At 45.0% G+C, this 25,416-nt stretch overlaps 1 long non-coding RNA gene across 1 annotated transcript in view; it reads right to left on the bottom strand.

The window, feature by feature from the left end:
• Window positions 1-19,708, bottom strand: part of LOC105378780 (uncharacterized) — a 28,350-nt gene extending 8,642 nt beyond the window's left edge. The window contains exons 1-3 of the long non-coding RNA XR_947474.4: window positions 19,597-19,708; window positions 6,557-6,684; window positions 1,869-1,932 (exon numbers count right to left, since the gene is read on the bottom strand). This is a non-coding gene — a long non-coding RNA (uncharacterized LOC105378780). The remainder of the gene's footprint in view (window positions 1-1,868; window positions 1,933-6,556; window positions 6,685-19,596) is intronic.
• Between the last annotated feature and the right edge of the window lie 5,708 nt (window positions 19,709-25,416).

The raw sequence follows: 25,416 nt of genomic DNA, 5'->3' as shown, positions 1-25,416 counted from the left end.
CTTCTCTTCCCATGGGCTGGCGTGCTCTTCCCCAGGTATTCACATGGCTTCCCCATCACTTCATTTAGGTCTTTGCTAAAATATTTCTTCTGAGCCTTCCCTTTAGACTTATCTAAAAGAGCACACCCTTGCCCTGCTTCGGGTTTCATCATAAAACACTTATAGTGTCGTGCTAGACATAGGATTTGTACATTAATTTATTTGATTTTTGTTCCTGTCCATACTAAAATGTAAGCTCATGAAGGCAGGCATTTCATTTTATTCACTACATCATTCCTAGTGCCAAGTGTAGTGTCTGCCACATAGCATGTGCTTGAAAAATAGTTGTTGAATGAATCGATGAATGAATGAATGAGTCCACTGACCCTTTCTGGAAGACTTTTGTGTCCATTTCCACCAGGTTCTCCTCCTCAAACTCCCAATCACACTCCCTCATATGCAGCCCTTCCCCCGACTCCCTTTCTATATACCCTGGGCTCCCCTCCCCCACCCCAGTTGGCCCAGTTTGCCAAAGCCATGCTGTGTCTCAGGAGGCAGGTTTCTGGCATAAGCAGTTGGGATTTGCTGACTAGTCCAGAAAGATCATCTGTCCCAGTGTCAGCTGTTAAGGGGACACAGTGAGCAAGACAGAGATAAGCCAGTGGCAGAGACAGTTGAATAGAGAGACAATTACATCTGCATTGGAGCTGGATCAGAGAATCCCACGGAGTGTAGGACCTCCGAGGAGGGGCCCATGCCCACTCCTAGGGCAGAAGTCCCCCTTACACCCAAAGTTAGGCCTCCTGATAGAGCTTCATCCTAAACGAGGCTGAATAGATGACACATAGATATTAGCCTGTGCTGAAAAAGTACCTGGAGAACCAAGCTCTTGTGAAACTCAAAGCTTTTATCAGTCAGGAGCTCAGATTCCATACCATCAGAGAAATATTTTAAAGGCCTCAGGGAATGGCAGGCAGTGTAATTAGCAGTGAGTAGAGCACCTTCTACTTTCCAGGGCAGAGAGAACTTGAGCTCCAGATGCTGGGCCCAGGATGGGGGCAAGGGTGACCCTCAAACTTCTGACTGGGAAGGAAATGTTTCACCCACCTTGGCCAACTGTCAGTCACATACCCAAAGACATTTCTTTTTCGTTTTTATAGTCCCAGGAGACTCCTGCTGATCGGCGGTTCCTTGATGTGATTTTAAAACAATTTTCAGAAGGACAGTGTTCTTGGGATGAATTGTGACCCCCTCAAAATATTCCTATGTTGAATTTCCTCAGTACCTCAGAATGTTATTAGAGAAAGTATCTTTACAAAGGTAATCAAGTTAAAATGAGGTCATTAGGATGGACCCTAATCTACTATGGCTGGTGTCCTTACAAGAAGAGGAAATGTGGACAGACAGGAAGAGAGGAAAGAGACACAGGGAGAAGGCCCTCTACAAGCCACCAAGAGAGGCTGCATCCTTCACAGATCCCTCCCTCACAGCCATCAGAGGGAATCAAGCTTGCTGCTTGATTTCAGACTTCCAGGCTCCAGAACTGTGAAACAATAAGTTTCTGTTGTTTAAGCCACCCAGTTTGTGGTACCTGGTTACAGCAGCCCTGGGAAACTAATACAGAGAGTAAACAACAACTCCTTTAGACAGAAAAAAAGACTCCATTCATGTCTTTTCTAATCACTGGTAAATTCAAGCATTTTACAGGATAGTTTAGTTTCTCTATGGGAGCATACACATTGTATGTTTATTATATGTGTGACTTGGTATAGGAGAGAGAAAGAGAGAGACAGAGAGAGGGAAACCATGCCTTTAAAACTTGTGAGCGGGCCAATGGAGTGTTAGGCACATATAATCAGCTAAATTTAACAAATATTTATTGATCTTACCATGTGGCAGGTGCTTGGCTAGAGACTCAGAAAGCACAGTCCCTGCTTTCATGGAATTCACAATCTGGCAGAAAAAAACACAAGTGTATAAATAATGACACTTCAGAGTGATAAGATCAGTGATTAAAGTGTGTGCAGAGTGCAAAGGGAATACAAGGAAGAAGTGACGATCTCAAGTAAATGGGACCCATCAGGGATGGCTTCTCAGAGGAGGGTCCAAGCTGAGTTAAAATCTGCAATCTTATCCTTGAGGTCAACCTACCAATCAATGAGATAGGTTGCATTTATAAATGCAAACAGTTTGAATATGTTTTCAGGAGCAGAAAAATCACTTGCGGATCATTGCATCGTTGTTTATAACAGCAAAAAAAGAGGAAATAATCCACATCTTTAGTAATATATAGTATTAAGTAAACTATGTATTTACAACTACGAATATTGTATATTCATCCAATGGTCAACCATGGAAAACTTAAAATGAGGTAAAGCTACATGTGCCATCATGGAAAGATCTTCAAGATGTATTGCTAAGTGAACAAAGTAAATGGTAGACCAATGCACATAGTATGATACAATTATGTTATTCATAAAAGGATATGCAAATACTTACTTTTGCTTTTTGTTTTTTCTGCTCCTGAAGGTGACCTTAACTAATAGTTACTTACAATTCTGAATGCATGGCAAGAACTCCACAAGAATACATTAAAACTGACATCATTAATTGCCCAGAAGGACAGGGAGGAGAGGCAGAGGTAAGTAGAAAACTTCAGATTTTTTTTAACCTGGGTGTAAATTCATTTAACCTTTTATAGTAAAGGAGTTTTTAAGGAAAAACACATTTTTGAAAATCTGTTCTGTAAATGACTAGTCTACCTCCTTGGGCTTGGGGTGCTGGGAATCTGTCTGAGATGCTTGAACAGAAGGATTGTTGGAGAACTCACCTCACAGCGAAGTCACCTCCCACCTTTTGCCCCAGTGTGACATCTACCAGGCTAACATGTCCGTTTACACAGTGGCCCTGTCCCCAGCTAACCCTAGTCATGTGCATACTATTTGCTTTGCTGCACTTGTAGCTAGATGCACTGAATTCAAAGGCAGGCAGACCTGGCTTCAAATCCCAAACTTTTTAACTCCCTAGATGTGTGACCTTGAAAGAAGTATTTATCCTCTGAGCTTCAGTTCGCCCATCACAGTGTAATTGTGAGAATTAAATAAAGTAATGCCCATTAAGTGCTCAATAAATCATAGCTTAAATAAATAACAGAAAGATAAATAACAAGAATCAGCTGCTGACTGCGTTCGATTGATTCTCCACCAGCCCTCAGGTTACCCTTAGCTGTGGCCAACAGGGCTATCTACCTCATCTTACTTGGTAGACTTCTCTTGTTTCAGTGAAAAACTAAACCAAACCAACAGGAAATAAACAATGGAATTTGTGAGTTTGATCAAGAATGTACATTTTCAGTAAATCGCAGATTTCACTTTCTCCCTCTGTCCTCTTCATGCCCACCTCAACACACACACACACACACACACAAACACACACACACACACACGTTAAAATCGTTCGAAGGTTGTGGAGACCTGCCTGTTCTCAGAGAAAGAAAACCCAATATGACACCATCCAAATGTGCAACCTTGCCATATCTTTTATCAAAGCATTTATCAAAAAGTTTCTTTAAAATGTTCACCCTATAGCACTTAGCACATTTACAGAATAAATGCAATTCACCAAATATTTATTTAATCATCATAATATTAAAAGTAATAATGTAGTGGACCCTCATCATTTTAGCTACCTAGTATCTGAGCCCATTTCCTATTTTAGGAAATCCTCTCATTTTGTGGGTTTTGGGAAGAGGCGGGGACCCTCTTCCCTCTATAGAAGTTGGAAGAAAGCAGGCATCTTTTTATCCATTCCCTGGAAATGATCTTTTTAATCATTCCCTGGCCCCCATGCTGGACTCAACCATTTGGATGCCTCTATCTGGAGCTTTAAATATGGAGCAAGTGATACGAAGACATGGGGGTGGCCTGGGATGATCCCAGCCAAACAACTTGAGTGTCTGGTGGCAGCCTCAGCAGCAAGCCTTCAGTGGCAGCAGTGCCAGCACCAGGCCCTAAGCAGACAATTCCTGGGACAAGGCCTGGGCTGTGTCTTAGCTGCCCAGTCTACCTTGGTTCCTGCCCATTTTCCACGCCTGGTTCTCCAGTCTTCCTGTTGATTCCATGAGCTACCTGTTATTCTTCTAAGAAATTCCCATTCTCCTTAAGTTAAACAGAGTTAATGTCTATTTATCGGTAACCAAGAACCTTGACTGAAACAAACAACTGCAAATTATTGAGCAGCTATAAGCTAGGAATTATTCTAAACTCCTTACCTGGAGTATTGCACTTTACCTTCATAACAACCCTCCGAGAATGGAACACGTTATTCGCATTTGACAATGTGAAAATTGAGGTTTGCTAAGACTACATAGGTTACTCAAGGTCGGCTGTTAGAAGAGAGGCAGAGTCAGGATTTAAACTCATATCCATCTGCCTGAGAGGCTCTTCCTCCTAGTCGGCTCCACAGGTATTTGTGCATTGGTTTGCTGGTTATTCAAAGTGTCTTGTATCCTACGTCATATAATCCTCACAATTCCTTGAGGTTGGAATTTTTAATCCCTATTTTACAAATGAGGAAACAGACTCAGGGGAATTAAAAATGACTCGCACAAATATTTATCATCAACCTTAAAAGTATGCCTACTCTTTAATCTAATAATTCCAGGTCTGGACATTTATCCCAAGGAAAGAGTCAGAGATGTGACCAAAGACTGTTCATTGGACTGTAATTTATTACAAGGAAACAAATTAATACCACTCTTACGTCCAACAATTGGGAAACGGCCAAACAAATAAGGGCGTACCATAGGATGAAATATAATGGAGTTATGAAAATCAGGCTATAGAAGGAGATCAGTGGTTATCTGGGCCTAGGTGTAGGGAGGAATTGATTTCAAGGGTTTTTCAGGAACTTTCAGGAATGGTGGAAGTGTTCTAAATCTTAATTGTGGTGGTGGTTGCCTGAGCGCACTCAGTTGCCAAAACTCATCAAACCATACACTTAAAATGGGTGTATTTGTTGTATGTAAATTATACCTCAACAATTTTTTATAATTTTTTTTTGCACTCTGTCACCCAGGCCGGAGTGCAATTGTGCAATCATAGCTCACCACAGCCTCGACCTCCTGGACTCAAGCGATTCTCCCACCTCAGCCTCCCAGTTAGCTAGGACTATAAAGGTGAGTGCCACCATGCCTGGCTAATTTTTTATTTTAGTAGAACTAGGGTCTTGCTGTGTTGCCCAGAGTGGTCTCAAACTCCTGGGATCAAATGATCCTCCCACTCTGGCTTCCCAAAGTGCCGAGATTATAAGCATGAGCCACTGCACCCAGCCAATAATTGTTTTAAAGAAAACTCTTCTATAGAAACAAGTTTTACCAATGACAATGTCCATTAAATATTAAGTGAAAAAGTTTACAAAACAATATTGACAGTATGTTTATTTCCGTCTGTGTTACATGCATAAACAAGGAGACACTATACCAAAATAACAGTAGTGGTTATCACTTGGTGGTAGAAATGGATAGTTTAAACTTTCTTTAATTTTTTTGTGTTTGCTTAGTGATCAATGAAAACAAACAAAAGTTTTAATCCCTTGTATGTTACACAAGTATCAACTAGAGAGGAGGCTAGAAATCAGGATTTCAGAGCCAATCCTAGTTCAGTTGTACTTTCTACTATGCCTCAGAGTTTAGGAATTGCTGTATTTGCATGCTTTGGAAAATTGCCCATGAAACATGCCCTTGCCTGCTGGAAACTTGAAGTCTGCAAGGAAGGGCTGAGAGTCAGTGATTACATCTGGTTAGGGAAATCAGGAGAGGCTTGATGGAGGTGGACTCTTTGATGAGCCAAGAAGGATGAATGGGGCCGTAGTGGGTGGAGACCCGGGGCAGAAGGGTGAGAGAGGGACATGTTTGTGGGAACAGAGTCTTCAGTCCAGACCCAGCAAGAGTGAGTTGTGAGGAGAGTGACGCTGGGTGATGAGGCTAGAGGAAGAGTTCACCGTGGGGGCTCCTGAATGAGGACTGAACTGTTGGGGCCAATATACCACTTCACAGATGACAGAACTGAGGCACGCATAGGCCAGTAGGGCTTAATCCCTATTCCTGATAACAAATGTGAGTTGCAGTGGAATCCATGAGAAAATAAAACATAGTACTGAAAATCCAATTTAGGGCCACAGAGGGGACATACATGACAGATGTGCGTGTTTTGGAGTAGGCCCAGGCCCCCAGCAGGACATCAAACTTGCTCGGGTCACTCAGCTCCCTCTCCCCTGTACACCACAGGAACCTGGGGGAAGGACCAGGGCCTACTGGATTTTGTATCTCTGGGGCCCATCACAATGTGTACCTAAGACTGGTACAGAGTGGAGGGTCAGTATGTGGTTGAGAAATGAATGGGAGATCAGAAAACAAGATCAGTCTGGGCTGGATAAACAAGGCAGGGTCTCTTGGAAGAAATGGGATTTTACCCCGGGACATTTAGGGTAGATAAATAATCAGGACAGTGACTTTCCATTTTTTGTGTGGAGGGTAGCTGGGAAACATCACCCCACCCCCAACTCCACAGACTCCCACCTGCGTTACGGTGAAAAGTTCAAGCCCCTTGCAGTCAGACAGTCTAGGCTGGAATCCTGGCTCCATCACTTATCAGCTGAGTGATCTTGGGACAGTCACTTGCTGTCTCCAAGCCCCAGGGTCTTAATCTGTAAAATGGAGGTAAAAATACCTTGTTTGCAGAGTTGTTGTGAGAACAAAGGAGCAAATAAACAAAAGACACAAAAAGATTAACTATGATCAAATCCTGTCTCTTTTTTTGGCCCTCTTCTCTGGTCCACCAGATGAAGAAGTCTAGTAACGCTTCTATAATGAGGGGTGAGTTGCAAGCTGGAGACAACACAGATAAAATTAATCACTAGAAGGGCTTAAATTATCTTCCCCTGAGATCAGGCCTTTTTTGGTGGGGTGGAGGGTGAAGTGAGTTGTTGAGGTTGGAGGAAATACAGGCTTTGTAAGGGGGTGTGTGGCATGAGGACTACAGGAGAGGGGCCTAGAATGGGAGAGGTGGCCACTGAGGACATTAGTTATGTCCAGCCCCCAGTAGGATGTCACATTTCCTTTGGTGGAAAGACAGGGTACCAACATTTGTTGAGCATGATGAAGTGCCAGGCACTGTGCTAGGTGCCAGGGATACATCCTTGATATATGTACAACCCTCACACTAGGCAGCTCCAGTTTTTTGGCAGACATAAACAGGAAAATAAACCACTATAATCCAAGTAATTATAACAAGAACAGAACAAGATACAGAGCACAGAAGACAACATAATACTATAAGGCAATCATATGGAAGGTGGGTTTTGAAAGATGCATAGGAGTTCATCATGAATCCAATCTAAGAAAGGGAAAATGAAGTCAAGTTCAGCACCACTGGAGTAAAAATGGTGGGAAGAGATGAGTTTAAGAGACGAAGCTGGCCATACGCGGTGGCTCATGCCTGTAATCCCAGCACTTCGGGAGGCCAAGGTGGGGGGATCACGAGGTCAGGAGTTCAAGACCAGCTTGGCCAATATGGTGAAACCCCATCTCTACTAAAAATACAAAAATTAGCCAGGCATGGTGGTGTGTGCCTGTAATCTCAGCTACTCAAGAGGCTGAGGCAGAAGAATACTTGAACCCAGGAGGCGGAGGTTGCAGTGAGCCCAGATCGTGCCACTGCACTCCAGCCTGGGTGACAAAGCGAGACTCCATCTCAAAAAAAAAAAAAAGACGAGGCTGGGGAGGGAGGTAGGAGCTAGATGATAATGAGCCATTCTTTATCCTGGAGTGATGGCAACCAGTGAAAGATTTTGAATGAATGAAACTATGTCCAATCTTCAAGTTAGAAAAACCTCTCTGGCAGAAGAATTCAAGGTGCATTGAAGTGGGGCAAGCTCAGAAACAAGATGCTAGTGAAGATGCAGTTTACCGTGGTCAAGGAGAGTGAGTGAGGCTCTAAACCAGGCAACTATGGGGCCATTCTTCTGAGCTCCTCAATCACAGGCAATCTTGTCCTCTTCTAAACCCACAGCATGTGGCTTCTTTCACTCATGGCCTATGACCCAGGACCATGTGCTATCATGAATTGTATATTTGTTTTCCCTCCACTGCCAGATTGAGAGCACTTTTTCCTCTCCACATCCCTGGGCTGAGGAGCTGCTTCACAGTTGGTGCCAATGTGTTCTGAGGTTCAGAAGGAGGGGTGTGGGGTTTCATGGGGTTCAGAAAGAGAGGCATGGAGTAAAAGCAGCCTGTGATCAGTTCATGAGCCAAGCAAGACCTCCAGGCCCTTTGCTCACTCCCCCTTCTCTGTCTGTCCCTAATCAAGCTATGCAAAGAAATGTCTTAACTGCCATCTGTATTGTTTTGTGAATCAACAGAAGAGCCCAAACCTTTTCTCTTGCACATTTACCAACCAGAGATTTAGGGAAATAACACATAATCAGAGGAGGAAAGACCAGCTGGTGGTAGGTGGATTTTGCCTGCATAGTTGGTTGTTTCCCTTCTAATACAAAAGCTGATAGTGGATCATAATCTAGGACATTTTTCCAGAATGAATCTGGCAGTATGCAAAGACATTTGCGTGCAGTAACTTTCTTTCTCACTCTTCCATGACTTTCTGTTGTGTCTGTGTGGGCACAGACAGGGTGGTTGCAGGTTAACTGGGGCCAAAAAGTTGTTATCACCTGGCATCTGTGCCAAGAGCTTATGTAAAATGAGCTGATTCCAGCAGGCACATGTCCCAGGTGGGACCCAACCCCCCACTGGCATGGGCTGGGTGCCTGTGAGCCACATGTTGCTAAGGGCTGAGAAGGAAGCAGTGCCCAGGGCCGGGGCTGTGCAGGGTGAGGGAAGGAGCAGCCTCTGAGAAGGGCCGGGCCAGGTGGATAGGGGAGAAGTCAGGCAAGAGAGGACTGGGAGTCCTGGGCAGCACCTGTTCCCAGAAAGTAAATAATACTTTACCCTTGTGTCATATGCCTGCCTGTCGCCGAGCAGGCGTCAGTTCATCCCTCACTGTGGGCCGCCAGCCCCGTACCAGCATGCTACTCATTTAAAATGTGCTTTGGAAAAGAAATCAAAGGTCCTGATGCCTTCTGCTGCTTGCTCAGCTCCATGGCCCTCCCAAACTCCCATTTCACAGCTGCTACTCAACTGCGGGGCTTATCGGGTGGGCCTGCCAAATATTTGGAACTGATGCCCCCGGCTCCGGACAGGAGTGGGTGATGGGGGCAGAGAGGCTGAGACTGCGCTCGGCTGTGGTCCGGGTAGGACAGGTGCTGGTGGCTGCAGCCTTGTCCCATTCCCCCCTCCCTTCCCCTCCTTCCCTCTGCTCTCCTGTTTACAGTCTGTTCACCGGACAATATTTCAAGTATTCTAAATATGAGTGTCATAAGCTCAAGACGGAATGCTGGGCCCATTGTGCGGAAGGGGAATTAGTTTAAAGACAGGGAAGATTAATTGGTCTGTTTAGGAATGAATCGGTTTAGCAATTACTGTGTTTTGAAAGAATATCATTTATGGGTTTAAGTAATAGTGCAGTGGTTAAGAACTCGGGTGCTGTGTGCTGACAGGACTGGGTTCAAATTCCAGCTCAGCCTCTGGCCTTGGGCCTATTCCGATGCCCATTTGTTGGGTGACCAACTCCTCCAGGTCTGCCCAGAATTTTCTGATTGCTAAGAACCCCCTCAGTTCTGGACACGCCTAGAGAGGAGTAATGATCATGCTTAGCTTATCTAACTGGATAAGATTCATATGGTTTATCACAGTGCCTGGCCCATAGTGAGTACTCCACTAAGAAAGCTAGTGTGATACCTTTTTGAGCACCCCAAACTACTGGCTGCACCAGGGACCGTGCTTTGGGGTGCAAGAGACTCAGCCACAAACATGCCTGTCACTGTGCAAACACTGTAGCATTTTCTAATGGAGCTCACCCTGTTAAGTAGCTAGTGGTGGCTCTATTTTACTGATAAGGAAATTAAGTCTCCAAGGGATAATAAGACACACAAAAGGTTAACAGCTGGAAAGGGAAGGATAGCCCTTTGGAACCCAGCTCTTCTCCATCAAGCCTGGAGTCCTTTCATCCTCAGCCATTCCCTGTCTAGTTCATACCATGCATTGAGTAATGCATAAGCTTTTGTGCCAGTTGCCCTCTCTGGCTGCCCTTACCTCCCAGCCCCTTCTCCTTCAGCTGGCAAATTCCCACCTTGCTTTGGTACCAGCTCAGACATCACCTTCTCCAGGAAATTGTACCTACCCTTCCCATGGGTCTCCAGTCTCTGTTCTCTTCATACCCTTTATATATCTCTCTGGATACATTTCCTTCCTAGTAATAATTTGCTAATTCACTGTCCTGTGAGCTCCTTGAAGACAAGGATTGTGTCTGTCTTTCCACCTCCCTCCAGAGCCAAGCACAGTTCCTAACCCATACCAGGTTTGAATTCATTAAGGTGTGACATGATTGTTTGATACTTAATAAAAGCTTCTATGACTTGACAACTTGTGGTATGTCACACACTAAGCTGAGCATATATATTTCTCATTTAATCCTCACCACAACTCATAAGTTTTGATAAATGACAGATAGGAAAATAAAACTCAGAGAGATTAAATAACCTGTCTGAGGTCACATAGCCAATAAGCACAGATGTGAACTTTGAGTCCAGATCTGCCTAAGAAACTCAACCACTGGGCTCTATCAGCGCCTAACTCAGCTCCTTGCACACATTAGGCATTTGGCACTAGTCAAGGTAGATGGATGGCATAGGATGGCGTACGGCAGGGGCCCAGGGTCATTGGCCCAGGGTTATTGGGCCCAGGGTCATTATTAGGGGCCCAGGCATCCGTGGGCCCAGGGTGATTGTCCTTGGGCCCTCACAGGCCAGCTGTTGTCAGTGGTATGTTTGCAGAAGCTGCCAGTTCCCTGCACTGGCATGAAAAGCTCTTCCTAATTCCATGGCTCATTTTCGCCCTTATGTCTTTCTGGCCTTTCTCATTCTCCCAGGGCAAGGTGAGGTTTGGGAAAGCTGAGGAATGTGGCTGAACTGTCTTCAATAAATTCTTTGCCGATAAGACATGGGGGAGTTTCCAGACACTTTCCTATGACTGTTCCAGCTAAGAACGTTAGGCTAAGCTACAATGACTCAGCCCATGGAAGACCAGGGCTGCTGAAGTTCCCCGGAAGCCAAGTTGCTCTGCATAGGTCTTGGTCCAACCAGGATAGGAAGTCCCAGGCAGCCCCAGTATCCTCAGAACCTTCTTGTGGATGGGAGAGGCAGAATGAGCACTGTCCCTGGGGAGAGACAGGCTAGGTCTGGAAGCATCAATGTCTCCTTCTACCACAGCTTCTGATTTATTACAAACCTTAGAAATGGATTTGGAATACAGGTCATGGGTTAGGATCCTGACTTTGCACTTACTAGCAGTGTGACCATAGCCAGTCATGCAACCTTCCTGGGCTCCAGGATCCTCTCTGCAGAATGTGGAGGAGAACAGTACCTACTTCAGGAAGCAGCTATGAGATTAGAAGAATTAATGTCTACACAATGCTGAGCACAGTCAACACACCAACTAGGTGCTTGAGAGTGGTAGCTATTATCATATGAGGGAGGGATGGAAAAAACTGTGAGTGGAGCTTGCAGCTTCTGGGGTAGCAATGAGTGTGGCCAATCTTCACTGCTCCCCAGCTGAGTGAGTCTACTTGCCATGGCATCTTTGACTGCTCCCGGGCTGAGTGGCATGTACTGAGTTCCTCTGGCCAGAGGCTCCCAAAATGTGTTTTCTGCAGGCTGGTATCTGCAGGAAGGACTGGTTTACTCCAAGCCCATTGTGTCTGCAGCATATGTGTTTTGCCTTGGAAAGCTGGAAGTGTGTGACCCCGCAACATTGGCTCAAGGGGAATTTTCCTGCAGAGGTCAGGCAGGGTCTGCCTTCTTACCCAACAAGGGCCTTGGTTTTGGGAAGTTTCCCCAGGACATGTTGCACCAGAGCCCATGAGCTCCATAGTTTGGCTGTGTTTCCCCTTCCCCTCCCCACTCCCTCTCCTTTTTTTTGCAGAGCCAGAGGTAAAATGGAAAATGTGTGCTCAGGTGAAGAAAGATGTGTACTGTCAGATAATATCTTTTCTTCTCTGGCTTTGAAGTATGTCAGACACAAGCTAAATGGCCTAAAATTGATAATAAGTAGCCTTTTAAGTGCGGTCATGCTTTCTTACCAAATCAACAAATATCTCTTAAGCTGTAAGTGTTCAAAGAGTAGGAATCATGAAGGGTTTATGGATAGAAAGGGCTGTGGAACTGATTTAACAGTTGAAGAAATTAAAACCTCAAGAGGAGATGCCAAGTGCAGTGGCTCACGCCTGTAATCCCAGCACTTTGGGAGGCCAAGGGGGGGATCACTTGAGGTCAGAAGTTCAAGCCCAGCCTGGCCAACATGGTGAAACCCCGTCTCTACTAAAAATACAAAAATTAGCTGGGTGGAGTAGCAGGCACCTGTAATCACAGCTACTCGGGAGGCTAAGGCAGGAGAATTGCTTGAACCCAGGAGATGGAGGCTGCAGTGAGCTGAGATCCACTCCAGCCTGGGTGGCAGAGCGAGACTCTCTTCAAAAAAAAAAAAATCAAAAAACCAAAAAGCTCGAGAGGAGAAACGACGTCCCAAAAGTTATCAGCCAGGTGGGGGAGAGGCAAGATTTAAACCCAAGGCTGATATTTGGCTTAAATCTCTCCCCTTCTTTTTTTTTTTTTTCTGACAGGGTCTCACTCTATTATCCAGGCTGGAGTGCAGTGGCATCGTCTTGGCTCCCTGCAGCCTCCATCTCCTGGGCTCAACTGATCCTCTCACCTCAGCCTCCCAAGTAGCTGGGACCACAGGCACGCGCCACCACACCCAGGTAATTTTTGTATTTTTATAGAGATGGTGTTTCGCTATGTTGCCCAGGCTGGTCTCGAACTCCCAGACTCAAGCAATCTGCCTGCCTCAGTCTTCCAAAGTGCTGGGATTACAGGCATGAGCTAACATGTCTGGCCTCCTCCTCTTTGTAAATGGCCACCTTATGGTGTCACTGGTGTGGTACTGGGCAGCAAAATAACACCAAGAATTAAGGGGAACATCTTCTGCCTTTGAGGAGCTTCAATTTAGTAGAAAAACCAACAGGCCAAATGATGAGCAGATGGTTCTCCACAGCATCGCGCCAGGGAAAGAGCAAAGGTTTTCATGCAGGGCTGACCATATCCTGGGGCTGCACCCTGCAAGGCCCTACAATGCACCATCTGTGGGACCTAACCTCTTGATGTCTCAGTTTCCCCATCTATAAAACTATCTCACAGGGTTGTTATAAAAGCATTTAGTACAGAGCCTAACACATACTATGTGCTCAATAAATGGTAGGAAAAATAAATCCAAGTCCTGTAAAAATGCTGCCTCTTATTATGCCTCCCTTTGGGCAACTTATCATTTGCAAACGGAATTTACATCTGTTTTTTTTTCCTTAGTCTTCATAAGAGCCTTCAAAGATAACCAGGAAAGATTATCAACAAATATTCATTAAATAAATGGCTAAATGGATTGATGAATATTAAAATTACCATGTGCACAGCACTTACCACATGGAACTGTTCTAAGAACTTTGCCTGTTCTATGTATCTTATATAATATATGCATTATACCGGCACAACAACTCTATGAGATGGGTACTATTATCATCCCCATTTTACAGATAAGTAAACTGAGCTCCAGAAGATATTGAACAACTTGCCTAAGGTTATACAGGTAGTAAGTGACTTAGCTGAGAATGACCCCAGGTAAGCTGGCTACAGAATTTGGGCTCCTAACCAGAAAACCGTATTCACTGATTGAATGAATAAATGATAAATGAATGAATATAGAGGCCAGGTAACCCCTATTATATAGATATCAAAGCTGAGGCTGACAGAGCCCAAGGTCACATAGTTGGTTTGGTGGCAAAATGACAATCATATGGCAGCATTCTACTTCCCCACCCCCAGTGGAGTTAGGTGTAGTCGTATCACTTGCTTTGGCCAGTAAAATGTGAGTGAAAGTTGCATATGGCGGCTGGGCATGGCGGCTCACACCTGTAATCCCAGCACTTTGGGAGGCTGAGGCGGGCGGATCACCTGAGGTCAAGAGTTCGAGACCAGCCTGACCAACATGATGAAACTCCGTCCCTACTAAAAATACAAAAATTAGCCTGGCATGGTGGCGTGCACCTGTAGTCCCACCTACTCAGGAGGCTGAGACAGGAGAATTGCTTGAACCTGGGAAGCAGAGGTTGCAGTGAGCCGAGATCATGCCACTGTACTCCAGCCTGGGCAACAGAGCGAGACTCCATCTCAAAAAAAAAAAAAAAGAGAGAGAGAAAAGAAAAAGTTGCACACAGCACTTCCAGGCAGAAGCTTTAAGAATTTGCCACATTTCTTGGAAGCATGTGTTGAAATGAGGCCTCTATCTGTCTGGGTTCCTAAGTGACTAGAATGAACAGAGTCCACCTGTCTATCAATGATAGCATAAAGTGAGGAATAAATTTTTATTATGTTAAACCACTGAGATTGGGGTTGTTATCACAGCAGACCCTGGCTACTCCTGACTGATACATGTGGGGCTAAGAATGAGAGCTTGAGTAATCCAATGCCTCATGCAACTCTTGTCACATTACTTAACCCCAGCCAAGCCTGCACATACATCGGTGTTTTACTCACCAATGACTTCTCCCCCAGCTGGATTAATCTGATTGAATGACCTGGATCATTTATGGCATGAAGGGAAGACAGCTGTTGAATTCCAGCCCCTGACAGAAGGCTCCAGACCGTCAATGATAGCTTGGCTCTGCTAGTTTGATGCATCAGACACTCCCTCCCCAAAGTGCTGCCTGTGTCAATTTTTCTTAACAAATAGAATATTGTATAGAGAGTGAGCTTTTTGTAAAGCAAAATATAAGTGTTGCGATTAGCAGCAGTATCTCTTAAAGCTAAAGATGCAAAGTCAAGTTTAATTAACCAGGTTTGTGTTTGACTGATTTTTTTAAAGGCAGTAAAGAATTTTAAGAATAATTGGTTACATAATCTAATAGGCTTTTCACTTTTATTTGGCAGATTTAGTAACAATTAGACAATTGATAGTGACATCAAAATGCTCAACTAATTTTCCAACATTTTTGATTAGTTAACTGAATCCAATCAGAATTTTTTAAAAGACAGTTTCTATATGTAGACAGTATCCCTTGTGTTTAACTAATGAAAGAAGATTATACAAAAGGAAAGTATCAAGATTTTAAATATTGACTTCTATAAATCGATTTTGTCTAATCAAAAATTTACAGTGACATACACCAACAAGTTAAGTGTCTAGGTCTAGATGAACTTTATATGCATCTTTGTATTTTTCTGCAAACTCAAGGTTTTTTTTAAGGACTATTATATTCTTCTAGTGTTTTCTGAAAGTTTGCATATGCTACCCTTACAATAAATGGAACAACCAAGGTTTTAAAATCAAATTACAATAAAATAATGTTTTCTTTCCTGAGATTGCCTGACTATCTTTGGGGCCACTGCAGGCCAACTTGAAGGTGGATCTGAATCCAGCTCTGTTGTCCCAGATTCTCACCATGTAAGGGCTGATGAGACCCTACAGCACCTTGGGTACAGCTTCTCTATTTTAAGGATAAGGGGAACTAAGGTCCAGGGAAGGGATGTGCTCAGGGCAACACTGCTTTAGAGAGTGGTAAAGTAAAGCAACTACCAGAACCCAGACCTGTCAGATGCTGAAGTTCATGGACTTTCCACTACCCCCTAATTTAAAGGAGCCTGTATGCCTCCATGGTTTGTGCTGTTGCACTAGATGCTCTTCTGAAACTTAGGTAGATACAACTGTACTCCCTGTGTTCTGATATTATCTTCCATTTGCATAGCACTTTACTGTTAAAGCATTTAAAAATGCATTATCTGATTTAAATTCATAACAGCACTGTGGGCTACGAAGGACATTTAGCATTTAAACTCAGTCTTCCTGGTTTCTTGGCCCCTCTTTCCACATTGCATGCCCCACCCCCCCACCTTTACATATTCAGGATGGAAGACTGTGTGGCACTAGCCATATCCTGTTACCTCCATTCCCTAACTGTGTGGCTTAGGGCAAGTGACTTAACCTCCTTATGAAATGAACATAATAATGTAAGTTGTCAAGATGATCACAGGAGATCACTGGGTAGGGGGTCCGGTCCACATTTATTTCATTTCCTTGTGGTAGTTTACCAGGCCCTCTCTCAGGGGAATTTGACAAACTACTTCTTGGCATGCCCCTTCTGCTCCCTTCTATAAGGTCTTTGCCATGTTGTTGGCTGGTACCCTCTGCCTCACTGAAGAGTCTGGCCTCCAGTGCAGCCTGTCCTGATTCCTTCAGCCAATTCTCTCTCTCTCTCTCTCTCTCTCACACACACACACACACACACACACACACACACACAGTGTATGCATATACATGTAATTATTAAAAATATTTCATCCCTTATTTTTGCACCATTAGAGGAGTAAATCAAGACCTGGAAGCTCTTCGCTTTCTTCACTAGCTTTGAGAAACAAAGGTGAAATATGAAAGTTCAACAGGGGAACAGGTGGATGGGGGAAAAGGAGGAAGGAAAGACTAAGAAGGAAGGAAAAGGAAAATGGCTACTATATTGTCTCATTTAGTCCTCACAACAGCCCTCTTATGATTTCCACATTACAGATCAGGAAGGTTAAGTGCCATATCCAGGGTTGCAAGGCCAGATCAGATCCCCCTCTCTGCCTGATTCTGAAGTGGGTGCTTTTCCTGCAAAACCAGGCTGCATCCCACTTGCAAGGGGGAGTTAGGTAGTGTTTAAGTGCACACACTCTGAGCCAGACAACCTATGTTGAATCCTGGTCCTGCCACTTACTAGCTGTGTGACCTTGGATGAGTTCTTTAACTTTAGGCCTCAGTGTCAGCACCAATAAAATGGGAGCCATAAAAAGAGAATGATGGCTTCATGCAGAGGTTGTGGACACTAAATGATCTGCAGCAAGTAAAGCACTTAAAAAAGTGATTTACTTGCTGGGGCCGAGTCAGCCCCCTGTGAGCCCGTGAGCATTAGCAACAATCATCTGGCTGACCTCCCACACCCAAAAGGTGCTCTGGCCCTGGCAGAATCCAGCAGGTCCAGGAGGAGCCCACTTCCTCATGACTCCAGACACAACATCTCCTTCTTCCTCCTTTCCCAAGCTCGTGACCTAGTGGGATCCCAGCTGCTCACGTCAGGACAGCCCAGTTTCCCGTCCTTTTCACTGGTGATTTCCAACTAGGGCATGGGTGGAGTTTTCATGACAGGAAATAAATCTTGTAGAGAGCAAAACAATGAAAGCAAAACTCGTCATATGCCACGTTTAACCAATTTCTTCTCTTGGGTTTCTACTTCACACGGCAGCGTCCGTTTCTGCTTTATTTTCATATCTCCCATAGTTTCCAGTGTGGTTAGAAAACCACCCAGGACCACACAGCTACTAAATGCAGGAACAGGGGTTTGAACCTAGACCATTTGATTCCACACCCTGCCTGCTTACTCCCTGCCCCACAAGGCCTAACCTCCCCTTACAGAATATGCCTTGAGGACAGGCATCACCTCCTAACCTACTCCTAGCCATGGCCAGCACCTAGCAGCTAGCACACAATAATCAGTACCCAGTGATAGACACGATAGGCTTGCTGCCTGACGTTACATGTTTTCATGTAATCTCTTCTCTTCAGAGTTGATTAAGTCAGGTTTGAATTGATGAGAGGCTGAAATATTCATTCATTCATTCATTCAGTGAGTCAGTCACTTATTCATCAAATGTATACTGAGTGCCTTACCTGTATCAGGCACTCTGCTAGGTGCTTGGGGTATGAAAATGAATAAGCAAACTCCCTGAACTCAAAGTGCTTAGGGTCTATGTCAGGGAGGCAGTGCAGGGGTTCTCCATCTTGGATGAACATTTTTTGTGTGGGGTAGGGGAGATGGAGTCTCACTCTTGTCATCTAGGCTGGAGTGCAATGGTGTGATCTCGGCTCACTGCAACCTCCTCTTCCCAGGTTCCAGTGATTCTCCTGCCTCAGCCTCCTGAATATCTGGGATTACAGGCACCCACCACCACGCCTGGCCAATTTTTGTATTTTCAGTAGAGACGGAGTTTCACCGTCTTGTCCAGGCTGGTCTCGAACTCCTGATCTCAGGTGATCCGCCCGACTAGGCCTCCCAAAGTGCTGGGATTACATGCATGAGCCACCACACCTGGCCCCGGATGAACATTTTAATCTCCTGGGGAGCTTTTTAAAAAATGCTGATACCTGAATCTCACTCCAGTGATTCTGATTTAATTGTTATGAGATAGGACCCTCAGATATTTTTCTGCTTGTTTTTTTTTTAAGAATAAACTTTTTACTTAGATGACCTTGAGATTTACAGAATTATTACAAAGATAGTACAGAGTATATAATTCCTGTATACTCCACCCCGCCATTTCTCTTATTGTTAACATCTTACATCAGTGTGGTACATTTGTTACATTTAATGGATCAATATTGATATATTTTTATTAACTGAAGTCTATGTTTTATTTAGAATTCTTTGTTTTTCTTTTAATGTCTTTCTTCTTTTCCAGGGTCCCATTCAGGGTCCACATTACATTTAGTCGTCAGGTCTCCTTAGGCTTCTCTTGGCTGTGACAATTTCTTGGCTTTGGGTTTGTTTGTTTGTTTGTTTGAGTTCCTCAGATTCTAATATATAGCTAGGGTTGAGAGCTTTTGGTCTAGGGACACGAGCATGGAAACTCTAGACATAGGCCATCTGGGTTCCAGTCCTGGCTCGACTGCTTATTAGCTCTGTGACCTTGGTCCAGTCAAGCAACCCCTCGGAGCCTCTATTTTCTCATATGTAAAAAGGAGGTATTAGGAAGAACTACCCCATAAGTTGTGTGAAGATTCATTCACGGCAGTGTTTCCCAACTTTTCATGCCATGGCATCCAGAGAAAATACATGGTATTTTTTGTTTGTTTGTTTGTTTTTTGAGACAGAGTCTTGCTCTGTCACCCAGGCTGAAGGGCAGTGGCACCATCTCAGCTCACTGCAACCTCCGCCTCTCAGGTTCAAGCGATTTTCGAGCCTCAGCCTCCCGAGCAGCCGGGATTACAGGCGTGTCCCACCTTTTTGTATTTTTAGTAGAGACAGAGTTTCACTATGTGGCCAGGCTGGTCTCAGACTCCTAGCCTCAGGCAATCTGCCCACCTCAGCTTCCCAAAATGCTGGGATTACAGGTGTGAGGCACCGCACTTGACCAGAAAATAGTATTTGCATTAGGTATTAACATAATTCACAAAACAAATGATAGTGGCATAAATGGATGAATCTACTCATAGCCAGTGGTAAGGTGATGAAAAATTGAGGCACATATGTCACCTGCAGTCCTGGTATGCCATGTTAGAAAGTTCTGCGTTGTCACATGTAAAAGCACTTGGATGCTGCCTAGGCCAGTGTGAACCCTCCATGTTTGCTATAAATAATACAGAAAGAGACAAACCTGTGAACAGCAAGCAGCACTGCAGCTGGGGCCAGTGATAGCGGCCAGTGCCAGGTTCTTCAGTGGCCCATTTGTAGTGACCTAGTGTGTCTCTCCAAAGGGAATGTTCATCTCTTACTGCAGCAGGAAGGAGCTGCTCTCACTTCCTGTTGGACTCTGGGTGACCTGCTAGGGACAAACCCCATGATACTTCAGCACACTGTGAGAAACAAGAGTAGCCAGGCCGCTGGCACCTGAGGCACACAGAAGCTGCCAGCAAATGAAACAGAAGACTCAGGAGCCTCCAACTCCGTGCAGCCCTCCTGCCACCTGCCTGCCTCTCTGGCGCCACCGTCTGGTGTTGTCTGGGTGTTTTATGACCACCAGTACCTGCTAAGAGGCTGATTTTTTTTCCCTGGAGATTTTTTTTCCTTTATGGAGAAACTTAAGGCTTGGGGACATATAATAAAACTAATATCTTGGGAGGAAAACATCAAAATCCACAATAGAAAAAGAAGTTAACACTGTCTGGGCCGTAGCAGAACCCAGAAAACATATTCATATAATTGAAAAAGTCTACAGCTTCATAATTGACCTTTTGAAACAAAATGGCCTATCATAGTTGCCATCTGTGGTTCTTGACACTGAGGTTCATAGGATAAGCTATGAAGTCTTCAAGTCTTGAGGTGAATTCCTCAAGGGGTTATTTGGCTTTGCAGTCAGTTTTTCTTGACTAAGAGATATCAGCAGCAACTGCACCCACCTCCTGGGCAGCTTCTCTCCTGCCACAATGAGCCTGTAGAACGCCGTGGCTCATCCAGTTTGGACCTGAGAAACTTGGGGGGCTCCAGCATCAGCAGCAGCTCAGAGTTGTTAGTCTCTGGCAGCATTCTTATCATCTTTCCAGCCAGGTTTGAATGCATTGTTTGGATGAGCGGGAGCAAACATTCTCCCAGCATCTGCTTCTGTTCATAGGTGGGGGGCTGTGCCAGTATGCAGCGGTTCCACAGCTCCTGCCCCTGCAAGTGGACCTCAGCCTGGATGCCTGCAGAGGCCATACCACAGGATGAGGGCTGCAGATACTGCAGGCTTATTTGTATGGTGCAATAATGCTGGTCATTTTGACCCCAGCCAAGTTTTGTTACTTCAAAGTTGATCTCAGAATCAAGTTCCTGGTTCTAGCGTTCCAGTCCATCTTAAGTAACAGGAAGCCTTATTTTCTTCACATTTGCTAGCTGTGTATTTCCTGAGGCTGAAGAAACTAGAGATGGGAAGGACTGTTAACTCGACAGGGTTCTCTGCAATTGACCCACAAATGTGCCAGCACCATCCCTATCTGACAGTTCTTATGCCTCTGATACCCAGAGAGACTCATGGATGATTCAAAAATAGTGACAAGGCCAGGTGCAGTGGCTCATGCCTGTAATTGCAACACGTTGGAAGGCTGAGATGGGAGGATTGCTTGAGCCCAGGATTTCAAAACCAACCTGGTCAACATAGCGAGACCCCCGTCTCTACAAAAAAAATTAAAAGTTATCCAGGTGTACTTGTGCGTGCCTGTAGTCCCAGCTATTCAAGAGGCTGAGGCGAGAGGATCGCTTGAGTCCAGGAGCTCGAGGTTGCAGCAAACGGTGATCATGCCACTGCACTCCAGCCTGGGCAGACTCTCAGAAAAAGTCATAAATACTGATGTGCAGAAAAGATTTCTCACCATTATAAAGCATGTTCTTCCTGTGTTCCTCCTCTTACAGTGAAATGCATACATGGCGAGAGTTTTTGTTTTTTTGTTTGTTTTTGAGACGGAGTCTCGCTCTGTCGCCGCACTGGAGTGCAGTGGCGCAATCTCGGCTCACTGTAACCTCCACCTCCCGGGTTCAAGTGATTCTCCTGCCTCAGCCTCCTGAGTAGCTGGGACTACAGGCGCCCGCCACCACGCCCAGCTAATTTTTGTATTTTTAGTAGAAACGGGGTTTCACCATCTTGGCCAGGATTGTCTTGATCTCTTGACCTCGTGATCCACCCATCTCAGCCTCACAAAGTGCTGGGATTACAGTCGTGAGCCACCGCGCCCAGCCAATGGCAGGAGTTTCATAGTTGGCAGAGCCGGGTTCAAATTTTAGCTGTGCTGTGTGACCTTAAGTAAATTTTTTAACCTCCCTGAGCCTCCATTTCCTCATTTGTAAAATTAGGCTGCAAATACCATCTTGAAAGGGTTGTGTTGGGAGAATCAGGAAGGACAGACAAGTGCTAAACAGAACGCCTGGCTCGGAGTCACATCGCAACCAACAGTAACCTAGCCTATGGTTCTTTCCACCACAACTTTGGGAGGCGGGATGGGTATTCTCCCCACTTTATAGATGAAGAAATTGAAGTTCCGAGATTTCAAGTGACTGATCCATGTGAGTGGCAGAGCCTGCTGGGGCTCAAACTTAGGTTTTCCAGACACCGAATCCAGGGCCCTTTCCTCACACTACGTGCAAACTGCCTACTCTTCTCCCTGCTCCAAGGTGGCAGGCACTGGGCTGAGGCTGAGATCATGTGGCTGGAGAAACCACCCACGGTCAGAGAGAGCCAACGCAGAGACTAGAAGATCCACCAGACAGGCGTGAGCTGGACGCCCGGAGCGCGGGAGTGAGGACCCAGACGCAGGGTGGGGAAATTCAACTCGGTGTCCCAGGCAGGGACGGCCAGAGGGGCGTGTGAGACTGAGGCTCTTGGCATCAAAGCACAAAAAGCCTAACAAGCAGCGATGAAGGCTGACTCACAAAGAGACACAGTGACACGAGAAGCCAGACTCGAGAGGAGACATATGAAGACACTCAGACGTGGGCAGAAACGGAGGAAAATTCTACTGAGGAGGTTCCAAGATACCATTAACTGAGCCTAACTTGCCTCTTGTGGGTGTGGCAGGGGAGAACTCCCTGCCTGTGGTAGAGTCAGTTGAAATATTCCTTTCACATGCCTTATAAAGAAAAAAAAAGTATCTACCCTTTTTTTCCTTAGCAAACTCCTTACTCATTCCTCTCCTCTGTCCTCAGTTTAGTGTCAAGGGAAGTTGGCTGGGAGGAATAGGGCTTGATCTGGGATGCTCCGGCTGTCCATGTGATGTCCATGTGTCAGTCCACTAGAAGTGACCAGAGTTCCTGGACCTGGAGTCATGGGATCTTAGACTGCAAGGTCATCCAGCTCGAGTTTCCCCCCAATGCATGAAAATTTCCCTTCCAAAGTGGTCTGCCAGGCTCTGCTTGGATACCTCTGATGATGGGGAGCTCACTACCTCCCAAGGCAATCCCTTACATATATGGGGTTACAGCTCTGAATTTTAGAAAATGGTTCCTTATCACGCGTGTCACTATTCCTTCAGTTGTCAGTGGCAAAAACCCACTGAAACTGTGTTTGGCGAAAGATAAATTAACAAATAAGTAAGAAGGTATTCTGCAGCGCACCCTTGATGTGCCACACAGATCTCCCTCCAGTAAAGGGCTTTTTATCATCAGCTGCCAGAGAGCTCCCAGCAGACGACCTTTAACTGTCCACTCCTTCAGGGATTGCTTCATTGTAGCCACCCTTCCAGGGCCAATCCACAGCCAATGAATGATCAACACAGGAGTATAAATGCCTGGTCATCTCCCCCAACTCTGATAACTCTGGAAGGCCGCTCTAGCTCCAGGGCTTCTCTGGGTGTGGCTGAGGCTGTCTTCAGGTCTGCAGTTGCCTTCGTCCTCCCTCTGCATCTTCTGTTCTTCCTCAAGTCTTGATACCTAAGGCATTCCCTAATCAATATCCTGCACCCTTTCCGGGGCATGAACCTGCAACATATTGGGCTTCCCAGCTGAAAGATCTAGGGGCTTTCAGGCTGGTTCCAGGGGCTCGGGATGAGAGTCAGGGCACAGTGTCACCTGCTCTGGGCTCAGCTCTCCTTTGTGTGGACTTTACTCTTAGGCAGGCCATCTCCAGCAACGCTGAGTATCCATGCAGTCCCAAATCCAGTTGGAGGAGAAAACTTTTTACCAGCAATTTTATAAAGTTCAAAATGTACTTTCCATTAAGCTAATTTGAGTGGCCGGTTGATTCTTGGACTAAGCGCTGTGTCCAGAGAGGATGAAATGTGCTGATTAGTTTAGGCCAGAGTCTTCAGATCCCCAAGACAGACCACAGGGGTCAAGAGTAAGGGAGGGCTGCTGCCTGAGCAACACATGGGCTCTGTGATGGAAGAAAGGGAAGCAGCAAACACCACAGAGGTTTACCACAGTTTTCCCATGTAGCAGCTGCTCTCCTTGCTGTTTCCACTGGGGCCATGTGAAACAAAGCTGATGCCGTTTTCCACAGCACAGCTCTTCAAGTATGGGATGACCTCCATTCTACCCCACCTGCAGCGTACTCGCTCCAACCCCACTCCTCCGTCTATTTCGATATGGCAGGGCCTGAGCCCTCCTGCCTCTCGGGGTAATTTTTTCTCTAAACACAGCCTATTCTTCCCCATTAGTCTGCACATGTGCTGTCCAGAATAAAATACAGTGCTCTCAGAAGAGTATAAAATAATCACTTTCCTCCTTCCAGATATTCTACTTCTATTAAGGGAGTCCAAAATCAAAATAATGAGCTTTTTCTTGATAGACACAAAAGCTGGCTTATAATAAGTATACTATTTGCTAAACTCCCTCAGTGGCTTTCCCACTGAAAGTTCTGGTACTATTACATAGCTCTTTATCCCATAGTTGCACAGTTAGAGTTTTGAACAATATTGCATATAATAAATCACGATTTCTACATATGTTGATTAGATATTAGAGCTCATCCCACTTTGACTCTCTGGGTGCAGGTGTATAATGCTATGTGTGTGAGAATGAGTACTAATCAAAATCCCTGGATTCAGGCCCTAAGTGTCAATGTTTATGAGTTATATGACCTTTGATAGGTCACTTAATTGCTCACTCTCCGTTATATCTAAAATTAGTTAATAATATCTACTTCACATGAGTTGTACATATCAAAATAAAATAGCACATATGAAAATGCTTTAGAAACTATGTGTATGAGCCTATATATATGCTACCATATTAAATCTTTTTCCGGTCCAGTGCACTGGCTCACGCCTGTAATCCCAGCACTTTGGGAGGCTGAGGAGGGTGAATCATCTGAGGTCAGGAGTTCAAGACCAGCCTGGCCAACATGGTGAAACCCCGTCTCTACTAAAAATACAAAATTAGCTGGGTTTGGTAGTCCACGCCTGTAATCCCAGCTACTCGGGAGGCTGAGGCACGAGAATTGCTTGAACCCAGGAGGTGGAGGTTGCAGTGAGCCGAGATCATGCCACTGCACTCCAGCCTGGGCAACAGAGTGAGACTCTGTCTCAAAAAAAAAAAAAAGTTTTTCTTACTGTAGTTCACAGCTCAAAAATTTGAAGAAAAACACTGCCTCACACCATATCCTTCAAAATATCTGGGCCTGTGTCTTCACTACTGCACACACACACAGACACACACACACACACATACACACAACGGAAACAAAAGTTTCATGAGACAACACTCACTCATATATGACTAAGTAAAAACATAAAGTTAAATAGCAAACATGATTTTATTAGTATTCAAATACAACATACAAAAATATCCCAAAATAAATAATACAAAACCAGAAATGCTGGTCATGACATTTGATTTCACAGCTCATCAATGGGTTACAAGTCAATCTCAAAAACACAGGTGTGGCAGAAGAGAGAGACAGCAAATAGTGATTACAGCAGTGCAGTAAATGCTGTGCTTGACAGAATGGCAACTACAGACACGAGGCCAACGTGGGCACCCAAGGAAGAACTCAGGAAGTCAGAAGGCTTCC

The sequence above is a fragment of the Homo sapiens genome, chromosome 1 (assembly GCF_000001405.40).
Source record: "Homo sapiens chromosome 1, GRCh38.p14 Primary Assembly".
Classification (NCBI taxonomy): domain Eukaryota; kingdom Metazoa; phylum Chordata; class Mammalia; order Primates; family Hominidae; genus Homo; species Homo sapiens.
This window is presented reverse-complemented; position numbering and strand designations above follow the sequence as displayed.